This window comes from Homo sapiens, chromosome 11, assembly GCF_000001405.40.
Source record: "Homo sapiens chromosome 11, GRCh38.p14 Primary Assembly".
Taxonomy (NCBI): domain Eukaryota; kingdom Metazoa; phylum Chordata; class Mammalia; order Primates; family Hominidae; genus Homo; species Homo sapiens.
Window position 1 is genome coordinate 114439003 of NC_000011.10, and position 19053 is coordinate 114458055.

Consider the following 19053-nt stretch of genomic DNA (forward strand, 5'->3'; position numbering starts at 1 on the left):
TAATGTTAATGGCCTTCTGGCCCCCAAAAGCACACTGCCTCTTGGTCCCAAATAAATGAGGAAAATATCCAGTTTGTGGAATAGAGGGGCAGGTAAGTAAAAAAAGAAAAAGAAATGCAAAGAAGGAAAGATATACATGAAAAAAATGTCATACAGAGATAATCAGCTCTTTTCCAACCAACCAAAGTAAGAGTTCTTTTTTAACTGCGCGGTTACAACTAACCAAAACTCAGGAAATAACTCCTGGAAGCAAACAAACTTAGCAGTGAAAAACAAGCGCGTCCAGTAACACCAGAAAAACACGTGGCGGGGGTGGGGCATCTGGTCGCAACCGCAGGTGAGACTCTAAGTCCCATCATTCCCTTCGGCAGCCAAGCCAGGCTGTTGAGGGCGAGCCGGCGCACCGTACGCTGGGACGTGTGGTTTCAGCTCGTGCGCCTCCCCGTGGGTTTGCGACGTTTAGCGACTATTGCGCCTGCGCCAGCGCCGGCTGCGAGACTGGGGCCGTGGCTGCTGGTCCCGGGTGATGCTAGGCGGCTCCCTGGGCTCCAGGCTGTTGCGGGGTGTAGGTGGGAGTCACGGACGGTTCGGGGCCCGAGGTGTCCGCGAAGGTGGCGCAGCCATGGCGGCAGGGGAGAGCATGGCTCAGCGGATGGTCTGGGTGGACCTGGAGGTGAGTGAGGTCGGCGGGGGGCTTGGGGAGGCGAGTGAGGTTTCGCTCGTGGAACCGAGGAGTCGAGCCCGTCCTGGGAGAGCGTTGGGGGTCTGGGTCTCAGGTGTGGCAGGTGAGCGCGGCCGGCCACGGGCGGTGCAGGGCAAGTCCGGAGGCAGGAGTCCTGCGGGTGTTGGGCGCCGTGCTGCGCTGTAGGGCTTCTTTCCACAAGGGAGGAGTCCTCCGTGTGGCTTCTTCTCCTCCCTACCCCTCCGCCCAGATGTGGACTTTTCCTAACGCTCTGGCGTCTCTGGGCTTGGGTCACTGGAGTGGGGGCGGGGGCAGCGGCTCTGTTCCCAGCTTCCCCCAACTAAATCCTTAAAGGACCCTAGGTTGTTAGGGCCAGACGGGACTCCGGAGATGACTCAGCCTTACCCCTCATTCCATAAGTGAGAACATTGAGGCCCACAGAAAGGATTCAACTCATTCAAGGTCGTGCTGTTAGTGAGAGTCTGAGTTGAGACCAGAACCCAGTTCCTATCCCTTCAGGCTTTCCATGCCCGAAACAAGGGCTCCTCCCACCGTTGAGCCTCAGTTTATATGAAGTGAGGATAATAACAGTAGTTTTTCCATTAGATTGTGAAGGTCCAGTGGTGTAATTAATGTGAAAACTTTGTAAACTCTGCAGAGACGTGGTGGTGGTAGTTATCCAACTCTTCCAAAACTGAGTGATGTCAGCACTCAGTTTTACTTACTTTGCATCTGTCCCGGAGTAGAATCTCAGTGCTTGACAAATAGCAGGCCCTTGGTAAATGTTTGTTGAATAAACGAGGACTCGTGTTTAGTACCTTCAGTAGTTGCCCGAGGAGCATTCTTTCTCTTCTGTTTCGGCTATGGATTACAAGCTGACTATGTTTGAGGGAATTCCTGTTAAATAAACTTGGGTAAAAGAGGCCAGAATGATGGCTTTGTGTGTGTTATATATTTATTTTTAATTGCAGATGACAGGATTGGACATTGAGAAGGACCAGATTATTGAGATGGCCTGTCTGATAACTGACTCTGATCTCAACATTTTGGCTGAAGTACGTGATGCCATGTAATACAGTCATACTTTTTAAAGGGCACTGGAAATATAACCATCATTTTTTCCAGCTTCTTTATTTAAAAAATAAGAAAGTTGAGGTCTATATGGGTTAAGGTAATGTGCTAGGTCATGGTAGGGGTGGTACTAGAACCAAAGTAATCCATCTCACAGCCTAGTGAAAATTAAAAATTAAACATTATTTTTTAATTAACCATGCCAGAAATTTACAGAAACATAAATTCTGTCGTTTACTGAGCGCTTACTGTATGCCAGCTACAGTTTCTGTGTGCTTTATATGTCTTTGTTCTTAGTTCTCACAGCAACTATAAGTTAGTTATTGTTATAATGCTCATTTGATGGATGAGGACACTTGAGCATAGAGATGTTGGGTAATTTGTCTGAGGTCCCAGTGGCTGTTTACTGGGGGAGCCAAGAGTTTAACTCAGGCTGTCTCAGTAAGGTGCTCCTAACAAGTAGGACAGCCAGCTGTCCTCCCATCAGATTTGGTGACTCGTGCCAATGTTTGCGTCTTTATATCATAACCTTGACTTTAACTTGACTCCATATTTACAATTCTGCCTTTTCAACTAGGACATGTGATTCTTCTAGATCAGTATTAAGATTTTAGAATTTCTGTTAGTGCACACCCGTAAAGTGTTCTGTTGTTGACAGATTGGGCATGATTAAGGTTTTTGCATGCTACTTCCAACTGAAACATTTAGCAAAACAAAACACACCTGCTGCATTTCAGCCACTCATGAAACATTTAATAAGGATGTGACACCATCTGGTAGGGGGTGAAATCCCTGACCCTGAATAATTCTGTTTTATACTGTCAGCAGTATTCAGAGCCAGAAACTCCAGAATAGGAACAAAGTAGGGATGTTTGTGGAAAAGAGAGTCTTGTTAAAATAAGTTCCTAGAGGGTAGCATTGATATGTTACTGGCACTGGATACATTTCGTAAATCTGCAGTTAACACTTTTGTTTGTTTTGCTGTGTAGGTAAAAGAGGTGAGGACGTATTTCTAGATTAATGACTGCGTTTGTGGAGTACCAGGCTTATCCTCCCCACATATCAACTGTAGGAGAATCATGAGACTTTGTACTTCTCATCATAACAACTTTTTTAACTTTGTATAAATAAAGCCCTGAGTTTTAGATTTGGTTGTTTTTTTCTGTTACTTGGGATTTATTGGAGATCAATAGTGAAGAGAAGTGTCTTTATTTTACCAGTCTAACTTACCCTTGGCCGAAGAAGAGTGTTTCCTTTAGACTGTTGATATAATGTGAAATACTGACAGTTTAATGGACCCGTAGGTTGATATGTACCCTGGAGGAAATTTGGGTATGTATTCACACAGCTGCAGATGAATGCAGCATTTGTAAATGGACTAAGTCAGATGAGGATAAAGATGTTAAAAAAAAAAAAAAAGCTTAGGGGCTATCAGTTCTGCAGTATGTTTTATTCTTTTATAAGAGTCTGAGAAAAATGTTTTATGCTGGTAGAAGAGCAGGCATCCTACTCTGAAAATTTTTCTGTAGGTGTGGTCCCTTGGCTTGCTAAATAGGGATCTAAAATAGTTTGTAGTAGTTTGATTTTTCCATCATTGTTAGTATTTTTTTTAATAGTATGAGTATTTTTTTTCATTTTCATAGGTTTGGGTTTTCTTTTTCCTTCGTGACTATCATAAAACATCTGTTATCCAAGCAAAATTTTTTGTTTCTTCGCAGAGATTACCAACACCAGTTTTCTTGTTTGGCTAAATCTCCTTTTTAGTAGTAGGATGTCAGGCGTATTTTAATTAAATTCTAGCCATTTCTTTCAGTGATTGTGAACTGTTTTTACCACCTTAGTAGTAATAATACCTTGGATTTATGGAATACTTTTCTATCAGAGAGTTCAAAGAGCTCATATCTATAATTTCTTTTATCCTGTTAACATTTCTATGAGGGAAGGGGTACAGTTTATTATTATCACTATCTTACAGAGGGAGAAGCTGAGGTGACTTGCTTTAATGCCGTAGCTACTGTTAACTGCCAGGACTTATCTGAGAGACTCATACTTGGATGTTCTATGAAATGGAGCTGAGAATTTGAGGGCTACTTTGTGTTTTGGATATCAACAATTACCTCTTTAATTTTTTTTTAAATATAAAAATACTGTTAAAACAGTGTAACTATCCAAAGTATGTGTGTAGTGAACTATTGGATTTTTGTCCTGTTCTATTGCTCCTTCTTACTCCAAGTTTATGTATTGTCTTGATATTTTGTATGTTTATATAAATGCGTGTTTTTTTTAAAACAAGTGTAAATGAAATCATACCTATACATACATGGTTTTGCAATTGTTTTTTTCACCTGCAATATAGATACTTTTTTTTTTTAAGAGATAGGGTCTCACCCTGTCACCCAGGTTGGAGTGCAGTGGCATGTAGCTCACTGTAACCTCGAACTCCTGGGTTCAAGTGATCTTCCTGCCTCAGCCTCCTGAGAAGCTAGGACTGTAGGGGTGTGCCACCAGGCCCACCTAATTTTTTTTTTTTTTTTTTTAATTTTGTAGAAATGAGGTCTTGCTATGTTGCCTGGACTGGTCTTGAACTACTGGCCTCAAGTGATCCTCCCACCTCGGCCTCCCAGAGTGCTGGGATTACCATGCTTGGCCTAGACACTTTTCAAAATGAACTCATAATCAAGGGTTGACAGACTTTTCTGGAAAGAGCAAGTTATTAAATTGTTTAGGCTTTGAGTGCAGTCATATGTTCTTGTCATATGTTCTTTTTTTTTTTTAAACAATCTTTTACAAATGTAAAAATCATTCTTAGCTTTCTAGCTATTAATAAATAGCTGAAGTGTGGGGCCATAGTTTGCTGACCCTTGATAGATATCTGTGTCATCTATTTGTAGGATTAGAGTTTTCAGTGGTGTGTGTATGTTCGTATGTTCTATTTTGCCTTAATGAACAGTGCTGGAATGAAGGGGGAACACTTAAAGTATCCTTATCTCTTACTTTCTCTGATATGTATATTTAGTCCTTAAAACAGCTTAAGCTTTCCCTCTGAAAGTAAGGTTATTCCTGTTGTTTCTTGGTGACTGATGGCGTTTCCCATCCACAGGGTCCTAACCTGATTATAAAACAACCAGATGAGTTGCTGGACAGCATGTCAGATTGGTGTAAGGAGCATCACGGGAAGGTAACATTACCAAATAACAGGATTGCTGCTTTGGGGATCAGTAGCAAGCTTTTTGCTCCCACACCTGAATCCGATACCATTGTTGGATGGTATTTTAAAAAGGCTTAGAGAAGATTGCATGGCAAGCCTGGGAAACTGCTTGCTTGTTTACTTTTCATCTTTGGGACCTCTCGAGATCATCTTCTCCTGAATGTCCTCTTTTTTTTCTCTCCTACATTCAGTCTGTCGCGAACGCATTGTGGATTGTCAAGTATTACTCAAGTCAGTCTTTTGGATAAGGTTAGACATCAACTTTCAGAGAAGGGGGATTGCTGCTCTCCTGTTAATAGTTGTTTCTTCCCAGAGGTTAATATCCTTGGACTTTGAACACCGTCTTTTTTGACTGTGGACATGCTATTAACAGTCAGGATCATAACTAAGTTGGCTTGGATTCTTGAAGAAAAAAAAATGGTGCAAAGATGGCAGTTGCAATTTGAACTTGAGCTCTAAAAATGGTCTATTTGTGGTTATATTTGCCCATTTTAAAAGTGAAATTTCATTTCTGGATGCCTTTGAAAACTGACTTTACATGTGTTTTTGGTGGGGGGCTGGGGATTCTCTCTTGCAGTCTGGCCTTACCAAGGCAGTGAAGGAGAGTACAATTACATTGCAGCAGGCAGAGTATGAATTTCTGTCCTTTGTACGACAGCAGACTCCTCCAGGGCTCTGTCCACTTGCAGGTAAAATCCAATCCTGTGTATATCTTATAGTCTTCCATATGTAGTGGTTCAAGAGACTGCAGTTCCAGAAAGACTAGCCGAGCCCATCCATGTCTTCCACTTAACCCTGCTTTGGGTTACACATCTTAACTTTTCTGTTCAAGTTTCTCTGTGTAGTTTATAGCATGAGTATTGGGAAAATGCCCTGAAACCTGACATGAGATCTGGGAAACACAAACTTACTCAATAAGAATTTCTCCCATATTTTTATGATGGAAAAATTTCACATGCACAGAGGAGTGGATTTAGTAATTGTTAACCTTGTGTCGTATTTGTTTTACCTATTTTTTGTTGGACATTTTAAAGGAAATTGCAGGCATCAGGACACTTCATTCCTAAATACTTCATCAAACATCTCCTAAGATAAAGACATTTTCTTATGTAATACAATGTCATTGCATTGAAGATAATTAAACATTATTCAGTATCATATGATATCTAGTCCACATTAGATGTTCCCCAAAATATTTGTTTTTGAACCAGGATTCAGTCAAGGCTCGTGCATTTCATTTAGTTATATTTCTTTAGTCTCTTAATGTAAAACTTTCCACCTATTATTTTTCCCCTGTGTCATTGACTTTCTAAAGAGACCAGGCCTGTTCTACCAGGATTTTTAAAAGGGTGACATTGCCAGAGGGAAGTTAATGTTTCTCTGAAGGTATATGTACGTTTGTATATGTAAGTCGATGTGGTAGCTAATACTGTTCTTAAACATTTATAAAAATAAGTTTTGGCATTAAGTACTAGAGCATATATTGTGTAAATGTTTCCGCCAGCCAATGTGGCTGATATCTGTTTTAAAGGTCTCATTTAAAATTTAGTGTTTTTAGTATAAGTTACTTTTTGGGGACATAAATATGCATATGATTTGTTTAAAAATTTGGATTGTAAATAAAGGTTTATCTACCTATGTGATTCAGTTAAATTTTTAGTGTTAGTGGTGTGAATTTTGTGACACTGGGAGAAAGTTTGCATATCAGGTATGACCTTAGAAAGTAACAAATAGATTTGTGCATTACATCAAGCATGTGGAATGATAGATTTGTCCTTCTGTTCATGAGAGGTCATTTACAAATTTATAAGGAGCTAAACTGACTAAGTACTTGGAAATCTGTACTTGTAAGCTAATCACATTTACCCAAACCTGATTTAGAAATATAGAGGTGCTTTTAGGAATTGTTTGAATTTTAAAAAATCATCTCCATTTCAAATACAACTTATGAATTTTGATATCCTGTTGTATAATACTAGAAATATAGAGATGCAGTATGCTTCGTGTCTTTCTAGGAAATTCAGTTCATGAAGATAAGAAGTTTCTTGACAAATACATGCCCCAGTTCATGAAACATCTTCATTATAGAATAATTGATGTGAGCACTGTTAAAGAACTGTGCAGGTAAGGGCTATATTTAGGATCCATTAAATTACCTCATTTAGCATGTTTTAATTGAGAATTTGTGGAAAGTAATTGGATAGAGCTGTAGAACTAAGGCTACCAAGTGGGTTCATATCTTCCTCATCCCATTCTTGCTTGTATAGGACCTTAACTTACCCTGGACTGGTGAGAATTGGGAGCAACAACGTCAGACATGTTCCCAGTAAATAAGCCAATGCCTGGCACAAAATAAGTGCTCAATACATTTTCTGGATTAACTAATATTATGTGGAAGTCTTGTGACTGGGAACATATAGATGAAAAGCTCTTAAGTACTTTAGAAAATAGTGGATCGACATATGTGTAAAAAAACGCACCCTGAAAATATACTCTATGATGACTCCTATAGTGAAAATGTGCGTATGGACTAGTGAGGTCACAAGGGAAGCAGCATCTAACTGTGCTGGAGCAAGAGGAATGGGGAGTCAGAGAAACCTTTACATAGCAAGGAAATAGCTTTGAAATTGAGATGTGAAGAAGAGTGGAAGTCTTGCAGGCATTTTATTGAGGAGAGAGCATTCAGAGAGAGCAGACAGAAGTATAAGAATGTGAGGGAGCAGGAAGCTAAGGCAAAATGTGTTAAATGAATCCCAAAGCATTCATTAATGCTGGAGTGCAAAGCATGAGGTTGGAGAAGGTGGGAGGTGGTTCTAGGGCCTCAAGAGCTTGCACACCATGCCAGTGAAGTTCACTATGATCTTGCAAGGAATGGGGTTCCTTTGAGAAAGTGTAGGTAGAAGAGTGAGTGATAACGATCGTTCTGATTCGAAGGTGGCAAGAAAAGTGGTAGAAAGATAGAAAGGAGGCTTTTTTTTTTTTTTTTTTTTTTTGAGACGGAGTCTCGTTCTGTCGCCCAGGCGGGAGTGCTGTGGCGCGATCTCCGCTCACTGCAAGCTCCGCCTTCCGGATTCACGCCATTCTCCTGCCTCAGCCTCCCGAGTAGCTGGGACTACAGGCGCCCGCCACTGCGCCCGGCTAATTTTTTGTATTTTTAGTAGAGACGGGGTTTCACCGTGGTCTCGATCTCCTGACCTCGTGATCCGCCTGCCTCGGCCTCCCAAAGTGCTGGGATTACAGGCGTGAGCCACCGCGCCCGGCCTGAAAGGAGGCTTTTCTGCCATCTTGGGGAGAAGAATGAACTGGAGAAAGGGCAGGGCATGGAAATGAGGGGCTTGTATGATAAAAATGTGAGAGGGTCAGTTGACAGACACTCAGTGTTCGAATGAGGTGGTGTGAAAAGGAAGAGGTATAATGTTATTCTGATGTTTGTAGTTTGAGCAGCTTTGGTGGATGATGGCAGTGTTCAAATAAAAAGGAGAAGAAGAAGAGTAGATATGGTGGATGGGGCAGGGGAGGTGTTGACAATGGTGGGTGTGTTTTGATGTATGTTGAATTAGAAGTGTCTGGTAGATTTTTAGATGGAGATATCTAGTGGGCAGTTGCATATCCATGACAGAAACTCTAGGGAGGGCTGGGCTGGATTTCCAGATTTAGCAATCTTACACACTGATGAGCTTGCTCATAGAAAATATATAGAAGAAAGAGAGGAGAGGGTAGAAGATAGAGGCCCCGGCAAAGAAGCAACTTGAGAATCATGACTCAAATGCCATTTTCAATGTTAATGGATTACTTGAAGGAGGTAATTGTTCAGTATATTTGAGACAGCTTCCTTTGAGAGTTCCATTTCTGCTGTGTATAGACGCTGGTATCCAGAAGAATATGAATTTGCACCAAAGAAGGCTGCTTCTCATAGGTAAGTTTGAGTTCTACCAAGCGTTTTCCAGTCTGACACACACTTAACTCCCAAATTCCTGACTGCTTGAAATAATGTCCCTTAACTCTTTTTTCTCGGGGAAAAGATAAAGTTCAACTAGCATAAACATAACATTCTTTTACTGTTAGGAATTCTGGTCAGGATTCCAGTGTTCCATTCTGAGAGGGTTATATAGCCTTTATTGCTGTTTCAAAACTCTTAGATAGCTTGGTTTATAGGAATGATGAAACAATCTGTAATCTTTCTAGTAATGAACCGTGTTAACTTTCTTCCCACAGAAGATATGGACTTGCAGCCTTTTGAAATTAGAACACTTTTTGTGTGCAATTCTATAATACAGTTGCCTACTTTGACACTTGTTATAGTTTTTCTGATTGTTTCTCTTATGTCTGTAGCCTTAGGTACAAGTAGACAAGGAATTTAAAGATCTTGTATATTCATGTGTCCTGTACTGGTTCTTTTCTTTTTGATTTTGTAGTCTTTCAGGAGAAACATGAAACCTGATGGGAGGTTTAGCAGCTGGCTTCTAAGGGTAGCATTTATTAAACCATTTACTGAACCCCTATGATGTACCTTGCACAGTTATAGGCAAATAGAGAAAGACCAATCCCTAAAGAGTCTGGCATTCTTACATTATTTTATTGAGTGTATGTAGACTGTAGCACAGGCATACAGGCCTAGACTACCTTATCTGACACAACTGGGGTATGTTTTGATTTCAGAATTTTTCAGATTTTAGAAAGGTGTTACTACATCTGTATTGTTTATTATCTTGTAGCATCCCTAACAAGGTTTGAGAAGCAGCCCATAATAAAACACATAGGTATTCTGCAGTGAAACGTGTATATTCACACCAAATGGCATAAGTAATGATGACTGTCAATAGCCTCACATTAAGATTGCTCAGGTTTTGCTACATAATAGGTTCTGTAAGTACTGTGGGTTTTCAGGTGTGTTTTGGATTTCAGTTTTGTGGATAAGATATTGTGTGCCTTTATTTAGCCAGAGGCTATAATTTTGGCAGCTTCGGCTCTGACATATATCCAAGTCCTGGAAAGAAAGCAGATGGTTGCCTTAGCCACACAAATAATTGTCATAAAACTCTTGCACTAAAATTTGTGCAGGGAATTCTCTAGAAGTGGCCCTTGGCCCATGATTCAGAGTTTATTGATTTACTTGCACACTGTTCTAATAATCTTGGTTACCTGATTTCTCAGAATACAACAGATGAGAAACAACATATTGGAAGAAAAGAAAGGCTCTTAGATGGAGGCAGGCTGCCACTGATTATAGCACAAATCACCATGAGAGAGGAGGTAGATCCTCTGGTATGGTTAGGTACTGTTTGATAATTGATGTTTATTATGATGACTGAGTCATGACTTATGTTCAAGTGTGTCAGTCTGTTTTGTTGAGGGACATCATCAAGTATTGGGCAATGTTTCTCAAACTGTGTTCCATGAACTGTTTATAAGTATTCTACAAATGTGGTCGATTAAGTTTTAGAAATACTAAAATTTATTAATTTTAGAAAATTAATAAATTAGAAATATAGGACAGCTTCCTTTTGGGAATTCATAATACACATTAGTATATTAAATGCTTTGCAACTTTTTATTTCAGTAAAAAGTTTACTCTAGTTTTTCTAAACTTATTTGACCGTGGAATTATTTTTTCTCCCTGTGGAACATGTCGCCATCTTTTGGAACAATTTGGGAAACTTTAATCTTCTATATTTTACAAATTTTTTTGTCAAAAGTTTTTAAAAAACAAAGCATTTAAAGAAAATTGCTTTTCTGAAATGTTCTACTTTTGATGATGCTAGACAGTGACACTTACAGTAACATCCATTGTTCTTAAGTCGTTTTTTAAAAGTTGTACTTTTAAAATGATTTTCATCTCCTGGTTTTGGACAGTTCATTCATTGTGGTATGTTTGCTTATAGGGCACTTGATGACATTAGTGAAAGCATCAAAGAGCTTCAGTTTTACCGAAATAACATCTTCAAGAAAAAAATAGATGAAAAGAAGAGGAAAATTATAGAAAATGGGGAAAATGAGAAGACCGTGAGTTGATGCCAGTTATCATGCTGCCACTACATCGTTATCTGGAGGCAACTTCTGGTGGTTTTTTTTTCTCACGCTGATGGCTTGGCAGAGCACCTTCGGTTAACTTGCATCTCCAGATTGATTACTCAAGCAGACAGCACACGAAATACTATTTTTCTCCTAATATGCTGTTTCCATTATGACACAGCAGCTCCTTTGTAAGTACCAGGTCATGTCCATCCCTTGGTACATATATGCATTTGCTTTTAAACCATTTCTTTTGTTTAAATAAATAAATAAGTAAATAAAGCTAGTTCTATTGAAATGCAAACCTTTTTGTACCATCTATTCTTTAGTAGTTTAATTATTGGGAAAAGATGGCTTTTTCTTTTTTAAGTGATATGGCTAATGTTTAAACTCTTGTAATGCAATTAGGAATCGGTTAATAAGTTCATGTCAAACAGGAAGTGAATATGTTTTGCTTTAGAATAACCGCAGATAAGTTTAAAGAAGCAGATTTGGGCTCGTTGTTAGAGTTATTGAATTAACAGCACTGGACTAGGCTACTCTGCTACATTCAGGAAATTCAATTCAGACGGATTCTGTAACTAAGGTTTATTGCAAGTAATAATTAGGGCTTATTTATATGCACAGCAGTGACTGCTTGGTTTACAGAATGTAAATAGCTTGCTGCCCTAGTTCTAATGGTCAGTAAGTAGCTGAGAAAGGATTTCAATTCGAACATACTAATTCCTAAGTTTACGTATTCTAGACCACAGTACTAAGGTGATTTCCTAGCCAGAGTGTGCAATAGAATCATCTGTAGAACACATCTCATTGCTTTGTGCACCTCATTCTGACAAATTCCCCTTGAAGACAAATCAGAATTGGGAAAGGCCCACAGGTTACTTTCCTTTCCTTGAGAACCACTAGGTGAGAAGACTTCTGTGGTGATGTCAAATTACATTTCATATTACAGATATGAACATAGTAGCGTGATCCTGATGTGTGATAGTTACAGATAGATCACTAGCTAGTAGATCAGAATAACCCCATAATATTTTCATTTGAGTAACATTTTAACATGTACTAAGTTGTGTTACCTACACTACAGCTGTATCAGTGGAGAGAGGGATTGTAGTGTAACTTTTTCCAAATGAGTGAATTAAGACTGAAATTCATGAGTCTACTAAGAATGAATTTATGAAAACATAAGTCTGCTGATCTTTTTGACCACTTCTTTCTGGAATGGCATGGGTTTTAGCTTATGCACCAACTTCAGTGGCTTGGAAGGCAGGATTGGGTAGTACAGTTGACCGTTGGACAACACAGGTTTGAACTGCAGAGGTCTACTTACATGCAGATTTTCTTCTGCTTCTGCCACTCCGGGGACAGCAAGACCAACCCCTCCCCTTTCTCCTTCTCAGTCCACTAATGTAAAGATCATGAGGATGAAAACCTTTATGATGATCCACTTCCACTTAATGAACAGTAAATTTATTTTCTCTCCCTTAAGATTTTCTTAACTTTCTTTTCTGAGAGCTTACTTTATTGTAAGAATATAACATATATATTGTTCCTGATGTTTGTATAAAAAATATATTATCTCTTACATATAACATACAAAATCTATGTTAATTGACTTTATATTATCAGTAAGGCTTCTGGTCAGTAGTAGGCTATTAGTAGTTAAGTTTTGCGGGAGTCAAAAATTATATACAGATTTTTGGTTGCACAAGGGTTTGACACCCCTAACCCCCGTGTTGTTCAAGGTTCAACTGTAGTTAAGAACAGGGCTCTTGAATCAAACTCTTAATTCAAGTTCAGGCCCCTGACATACTGAGTGACTTTGGCAAGTTGCTTTTCTAAGTCTCAGTTTCCATATCTGTAAAATGAGGTTAATAACGTTACTTAATGAATTGTTAGAATTAATTTAAATGCTATTCATACAGTTCTGAGCTCAGCACAGTGAGCATCGTGTAATGATAGCTAATGAATATTGATAATAAAGGGTACTATGATTAGTTATGAGGCTGGAGGCATTATCTTAAATCAGCGTTCACTTAATGCCTATGACTGCCTACATTGTGCTGAGGACTGTAGTAAACTTCACTAATAGTGTGACCTTGACTTGGTTTAGTGTTTCCAACTAAATTTGGCAAAAGGGTCTTTGCCCTTACTTGGCTTTCAGGAATGTTAAATTCTAATGTGATGATAGATAAGAAAACACTGGGCTTAAGAAGGGTTCGTAGGAACCAGATACTGCTATTAATGAATGCCTCAAGGTTTCTTCCACACAACTGGCTGGTTTATTCACCTGTTTAACTGTTCAAGCCAGTTTAAAAATTTTTAACTCCTGGTGTTACTGCTTTAATGCTGTCTTCTGTATCTTAATTGTGTAGCTAATTCTATTGTCCTTTAGTGGAGCTTGTGTTGAATTTTAATAAAATAACTGGTAGCCTGTGAGTTAAGCAAAACCAGTCTAGTGCAGGTATATATGAAGACATGCTGGTTCAGTGATTAGTTCATTATTTTTAAGTATTTTTAAGTTAAATTTAAATTTGTAGTGCTGGTATTTAGGATTTCACAGGGGATTCCTGAAGCTATGAAGTAATTTCTGTGAAATGAACTGCAGTGCAAATTGGTTTAAATAGAACTACAGCTTGAAAAATGATCAGTATATTTGCTTAGTAGAGCTTGCCATTCTAGTGCTCTTGGGGGGCCTCTCATTTGCTGGTTCGTTCGGTGCAGTAATTGTCCTGCAAGCTATGTTCTTAGGATCGTCCAGGTGTATTTCCCCCTATTAAACTCAAGGTGAATGAATCAGTACAGATGCATTTTGACTTACAGTGGGGTTACATCCCAACAAACCCATTGTAAGTTGAAACTATTAAGTAAAAAATGCATTTAATAAATTTAGCCTACCAAACATGTTAGCCTAGCCTACCTTAAATGTACTCAGATCACTTACATTAGCCTATAGTTGGGCAAAGTCATCTTAACAGAAAGCCTATTTTATAATAAAGTGTTGAATATACCATGTAACTTAATACTGTAGAGAAGGTGAAAAGCAGAACGGTTGTATGGGTAGTCGAAGTACGATTGAAATAGTATGAGCAGACTCTAGCGCTCTCGCCAAGACACTGAACAGCAGTGCTGCTGCCTCCTGCACCCAGAGTGTTTGCTATTACCTGACCTAGAACATCTGGAGCCCATAGATCCTAAAGAGCAGCTTTTTGAGGAATGCAGGGCTGTCGTGGATACTTAACTTCCCTGGTTCCAGAGAGATTTTGTGGATCTGAGGACAGACTCCAGTAACTACCTACCTATTAGAGTCATGCAATGGAACAACTTCATCCAAGCTCTTGGAAAGACAAAGACAACTTTGTACAATGCCCTGTTGAAACACTCAAGTGAGAAGAAAGGAAGCTTCTCACGCTAGAAGAAATCCTATTCTACCAGCCTGATATATTGTGCCTCCAAGAGGTAGAACAGTATTTTGAAACCTTCCAACCACTCCTCAGGAGGCTGGGCTATCAAGGCACATTTTTTTTCCCCCAAGCCCTGGTCATCTTGTCTAGGTATAGAATACAACAGTGGACCAGACAGCTGTGCTTAATTTTTCCTCCAAAACCAAATCAGGCTAGTGAACAGTGCCAATATTAGGCTGATGGCCATGACATTGAAAACTAATCAGGTGGCCATTGCACAGTTCCTAGAGTGCAAGGAGTCAGACCAACAGTTCTGCATCGGTGTCACCCATGTAAAAGCACGCACTGGCTGGGCGTGATTTTGATCAGCTCAAGGCTGTGACCTTCTTCAGAACCTGCAAAATGTCACTCAAGGGCCAAGATTCCCCTTGTTGTTTGAGGGGACTTCAATGCAGAACCAACACAAGAGGCCTAGAAACACTTTGCTTCCTCCAGCCTCAACCTGAACAGTGCCTACAATCCCCTGAGTGCTGGTGGGCAGTCAGAACCCCCATATACTACCAGGAAGATCTGGACCCCAGGGGAGGGCAGGCACACCCTCTGGTATTCTAAGCATGCTCTAAATGTAAGGTCAGCTCTTGATCTGCTCACCAAAGAACAGATTGGATCCAACTGGCTACCATCTTTCAGACCACTGGTATCTGGTGTGTGACTTCAGCTTTAATGAGGAATCTGATGGACTTACATAAACACTTGTTTTTGTCTTTTTAATCACAAGAGTCTTAACCAGGGATGTTTCAGGAAACTGAAATAGGATAAGAAGTTGCCTAACGAAGGATAGAAACATGGGAAGTTTTTGTCATTTCATTTTTTATATTTCTAGCATGCCCTTGGGAAAGGATCCCATTAGTTTACAAATCTATAGCAAAAAGGTTTTTGCTTTTGCACTCCAGTTCTGGCGTGTATTGTTTTATTTTCCTTAGCATTACATTTTGATTGTTTAAGGGCATTAAATTGGCTTGTTTTAGCTGGGCACAGTGGCTCATGCCTGTAATTCCAGCACTGTGAGAGGCTGAGGCGGGAGGACTGCTTGAGGCCAGGAGTTTTAGACCAACCTGGGCCACATAGCAAGAGCTTGTCTCTATTTCTTAAATACATAAATAATTAAGAAAAAATGGCTAATTTTGAAGGTTTTTCAGTTTGAGGATGCTATAAAAACTCAGAATTGCTTGAATCCTCCATAATTAATCAGTATATAGGAGCAGTTTCTCTAGACAGCATGTCAAGGTATTTGTGAGTTAAAGAAATGTCAACAAGGCTAGGCGTGGTGGCTCACGCCTGTAATCTCAGCACTTTGGGAGGCCAAGACAGGAGGATCACGAGGTCAAGAGATTGAGACCATCCTGGCCAACACGGTGAAACCCCGTCTGTACTAAAAATACAAAAAATTAGCTGGACGTGGTGGTGCAGGCCTGTAGTCCCAGCTACTCGGGAGACTGAGGCAGGAGAATCACTTGAACCTGGGAGGTGGAGGTTGCAGTGGGCCAAGATGGAGCCACTGCACTCCAGCCTGGTGACAGAGCAAGACTCCATCTCAAAAAAAAAAAAAAAAAAAAAAAAGTCAACAACATACGCATGGAGATATTTTTTTAAAAAATTCACATAAAATTAAGTAACAAATTATAGCATTGTGAACATTTTAGAACCATGCAAGACACAAATTATGGAGAAAGTAGTTTACGGTAATTTTCTTAAAGCTTTAAAATATTTTCATTTGGGCTTTAATAAAATGTGTACAAAAGAACTATTTAGCCTGGAGGGGGTTTTGTTTGTTATGTAGGTGTAAGTAAGTATCAGGTCTCCTTCATACATTATAAATAATCTTTGCTGTGCCTCCATGTTCCCCATTATTGTATTTCTGGAAGAGATTCCAATTAGTTTTCAATTATTTAAATGCTAGTAGTATCTAAGCTTTTTAACTGGAATAATATTGGTATACACTTGAGGTCACTCAGCGTCATCATTATTGGAATGTGCTTCTCACAATAGGTTATTTACGAGCTGAATGTGGTAGTGGCTAAGAAAGTCAGTAGGACTACTTTTCAGTGATGGGAAACTTTCTGGAAAGCCTGTTAATGGACTGTCATTGACATTTCCTAAGATAGCGAGATACTGTGGTTCAAAACATCTACAAAAGAGAATGTAAAAATTAGAAAGGTAACGTCGAATTCTCTCCCATTGGTAATAAAAGTAGTAAAGATAACAGTTGAAGCCTCTTTCAAACAAAATTACCTGTTGGTATTAAATTGATAAATATTTTAACCCATGAGTCATAAATACTTAAAATTAATAAATGGTCTTTTAAAGCTAAAAAAAAAAAAAAAAACAGAAAAGTTGTAAGTCAAACTGTTTGTAAGTTGGGGACCATATATCCTTTCCTGATAGTCTCAAGTCAGTGTTCTTTGAGTGCTCTTAGCCATGGTACTGAGTATGTGGGCAAGAAAGATCTCCATTTTTTAGCAGTTTAGCCATAGGAGAGGAGAATGAATCCTGAGACACCTGTGTTTTCTCATTTACAAAACAATATATCTCTGTTAAGAAACCAGCTTACAAATTTAGAGGGAAATTGATAGTTTGCTTTGCGTGAAGTGCTGTTCTTGTATGTGTATGCCTTGAAGAACAAATAATAGTCGTAATGTTCAAGTGCAGTTTTGTCATATTGATTGCTTTGTAGTAGTGCATCAATGTCCCAGGTTCACTCAAACGCTGTAACATTTTGAAAAATTAATAAGTAGCAGGGACAATGGAAAATTGGTTGTTGCAAGGATAAGCCTTATGTAGCAGATTGATGACGGCAAAAACTGTTATGTTTCATATCTGCTTATGAGGACAAAGGCTGTTATGTTCCATATCTGCTGATGAGGACAAAAGCTATTATGCTAGATATCTATTGATAAATACAGTCATCCCTTGGTATCCATGGGGGATTGGTTCCAGGACCTCCTGCAGATACCCAAATCCATGGATGCTTAATTCCTTGATATAAAATGGTATAGTATTTACATAAAACCTAAGCACATAGTCCTGGATACTTTAAATCATTTCTAGATTAGTTATTGTATAATAACGAATACAATATAAATGCTATGTAAATAGTTGTGTTAGTGCATTGTTTAGGGAATAATGACAAGGAGAAAAGTCTGTACATGTTCAGTACAGACACAATTTTTTAGAAAAATATTTTCGATCCACAAATGGTTGAAGCCACGGATGTGGAACCTGCAGGTATAGAGGGCCAGCTCTATGCTATATGTCTATTGTGAAAATTAGTTGAGTTTTAATTATTTGAACAAAGCATTTAATTTTATGTGGCTCATAGTGAAGTATAGATAGCCATGGTGGTAACATAAATGAAGAATTCTTCTCTGGTCAAGCATTTTCTATTGTGTAAAGGACGGCTGTGGCTTCAAGATTTCTTCATCTCTATAAAAGCAACCCCCAAAATTAACTGGGCATAGTGCGCTTGTAGTCCCAGCTATCAGGAGGCTGAGGTGAGAGGATCACTTGAGCCTGGGAGGCTGTGGCGAGAAGATTTCCCGAGCCCAGGAGGTCAAGGCTTCAGTGAGACATGATTGCACTGCTGCACTCCAGCTTGGGTAATAGAGTGAGACATTGTTCCCAAGAAAAAAAAAATCGTGGGAGGATTTTAAGTTTTCGTTCCACTAGAACACAAGCATTTCACAGTTGACATGTCAAGTTGAATGCACAGGACCTAAGACAACTTGGTCTTCAGGGTAATTTAATCAGTTTAGCAATTTAATCACCCAGGTTATACCACTGGCTAGGCTACAGCAAACAAGTCTGTGGAGCAGGTGGTCCAAGAGTGTGGAGCAAAATATGTTATTGTACAAATGAAAGCATACCATGAGCAGCCTGCAGAATCCTTGGGGATCCAGGATAAGAAACATGATTTTGGTTATATAACAGTGTAACTGTACTTAATGCGACTGCACTGTACCCTTAAAAATGACAAAAGGGTAAATTTATGTGATGTGTATTTTGTCACACACACACCCATACATGTGCACACACAAAGATGCATAATTTTCCATGATCCATTTTCAGAATGATTCTGTTTTAGGACCAATATGTAATGGGACCAGGTTGGAGGAACTGATCTCTGAGACCCTTGCTTGTGCCCTTAGGAAGAGTAAATTCCTTTTGTTTCTCAACGTGGAGTAACAGGAAGTGGACAATTTAGGGAGGTGCTTTCTTTTATGTCATCATCAAAGTGGTATAAGGAATTGCAGTTTTGGTTTACAGATAAAGGAAATTTAACAATACCTTTTAGGAGCATCTTGCCTTCTTACCTCCATATTTAGTCATGAAATGGGGAAAGAGATGCTGCTGAATTCTGAGTTAGGTGTACTCCTTGGATAATCTAAATTAATAGGCCCATGTAGATTGCCTTGGAACCTAGCCCTGTTTTGTTTCTGTGGAAAAACTTCCATTTTGAATTTCACTTAAACAGCTTACAATTCATACTGAGCAATAGAATTGTTAAATTAGAGACTGCATGCAGTTTTATACTTTCAGTCATCTTGGTTACACATCTTTCTCCAAATCATTTGTTTTTCATATGCATTTTCTTATCTTTACCATCCTATGGGCTCTAA

General features: G+C 39.2%; 1 protein-coding gene and 1 pseudogene across 1 annotated transcript; both read left to right on the top strand.

The window, feature by feature from the left end:
- The first annotated feature begins 464 nt into the window (after positions 1–464).
- On the top strand, positions 465–11277 carry REXO2 (RNA exonuclease 2). The gene is made up of 7 exons (NM_015523.4): positions 465–673; positions 1654–1737; positions 4854–4931; positions 5539–5650; positions 6977–7085; positions 8824–8877; positions 10844–11277. The coding sequence occupies exons 1-7, from the start codon at positions 527–529 to the stop codon at positions 10971–10973; spliced, it is 714 nt and encodes a 237-aa protein (NP_056338.2). The 5' UTR covers positions 465–526; the 3' UTR covers positions 10974–11277.
- Positions 14057–15260, top strand: LOC100422382 (nocturnin pseudogene; annotated as a pseudogene).
- The last annotated feature ends 3793 nt before the right edge of the window (positions 15261–19053 follow it).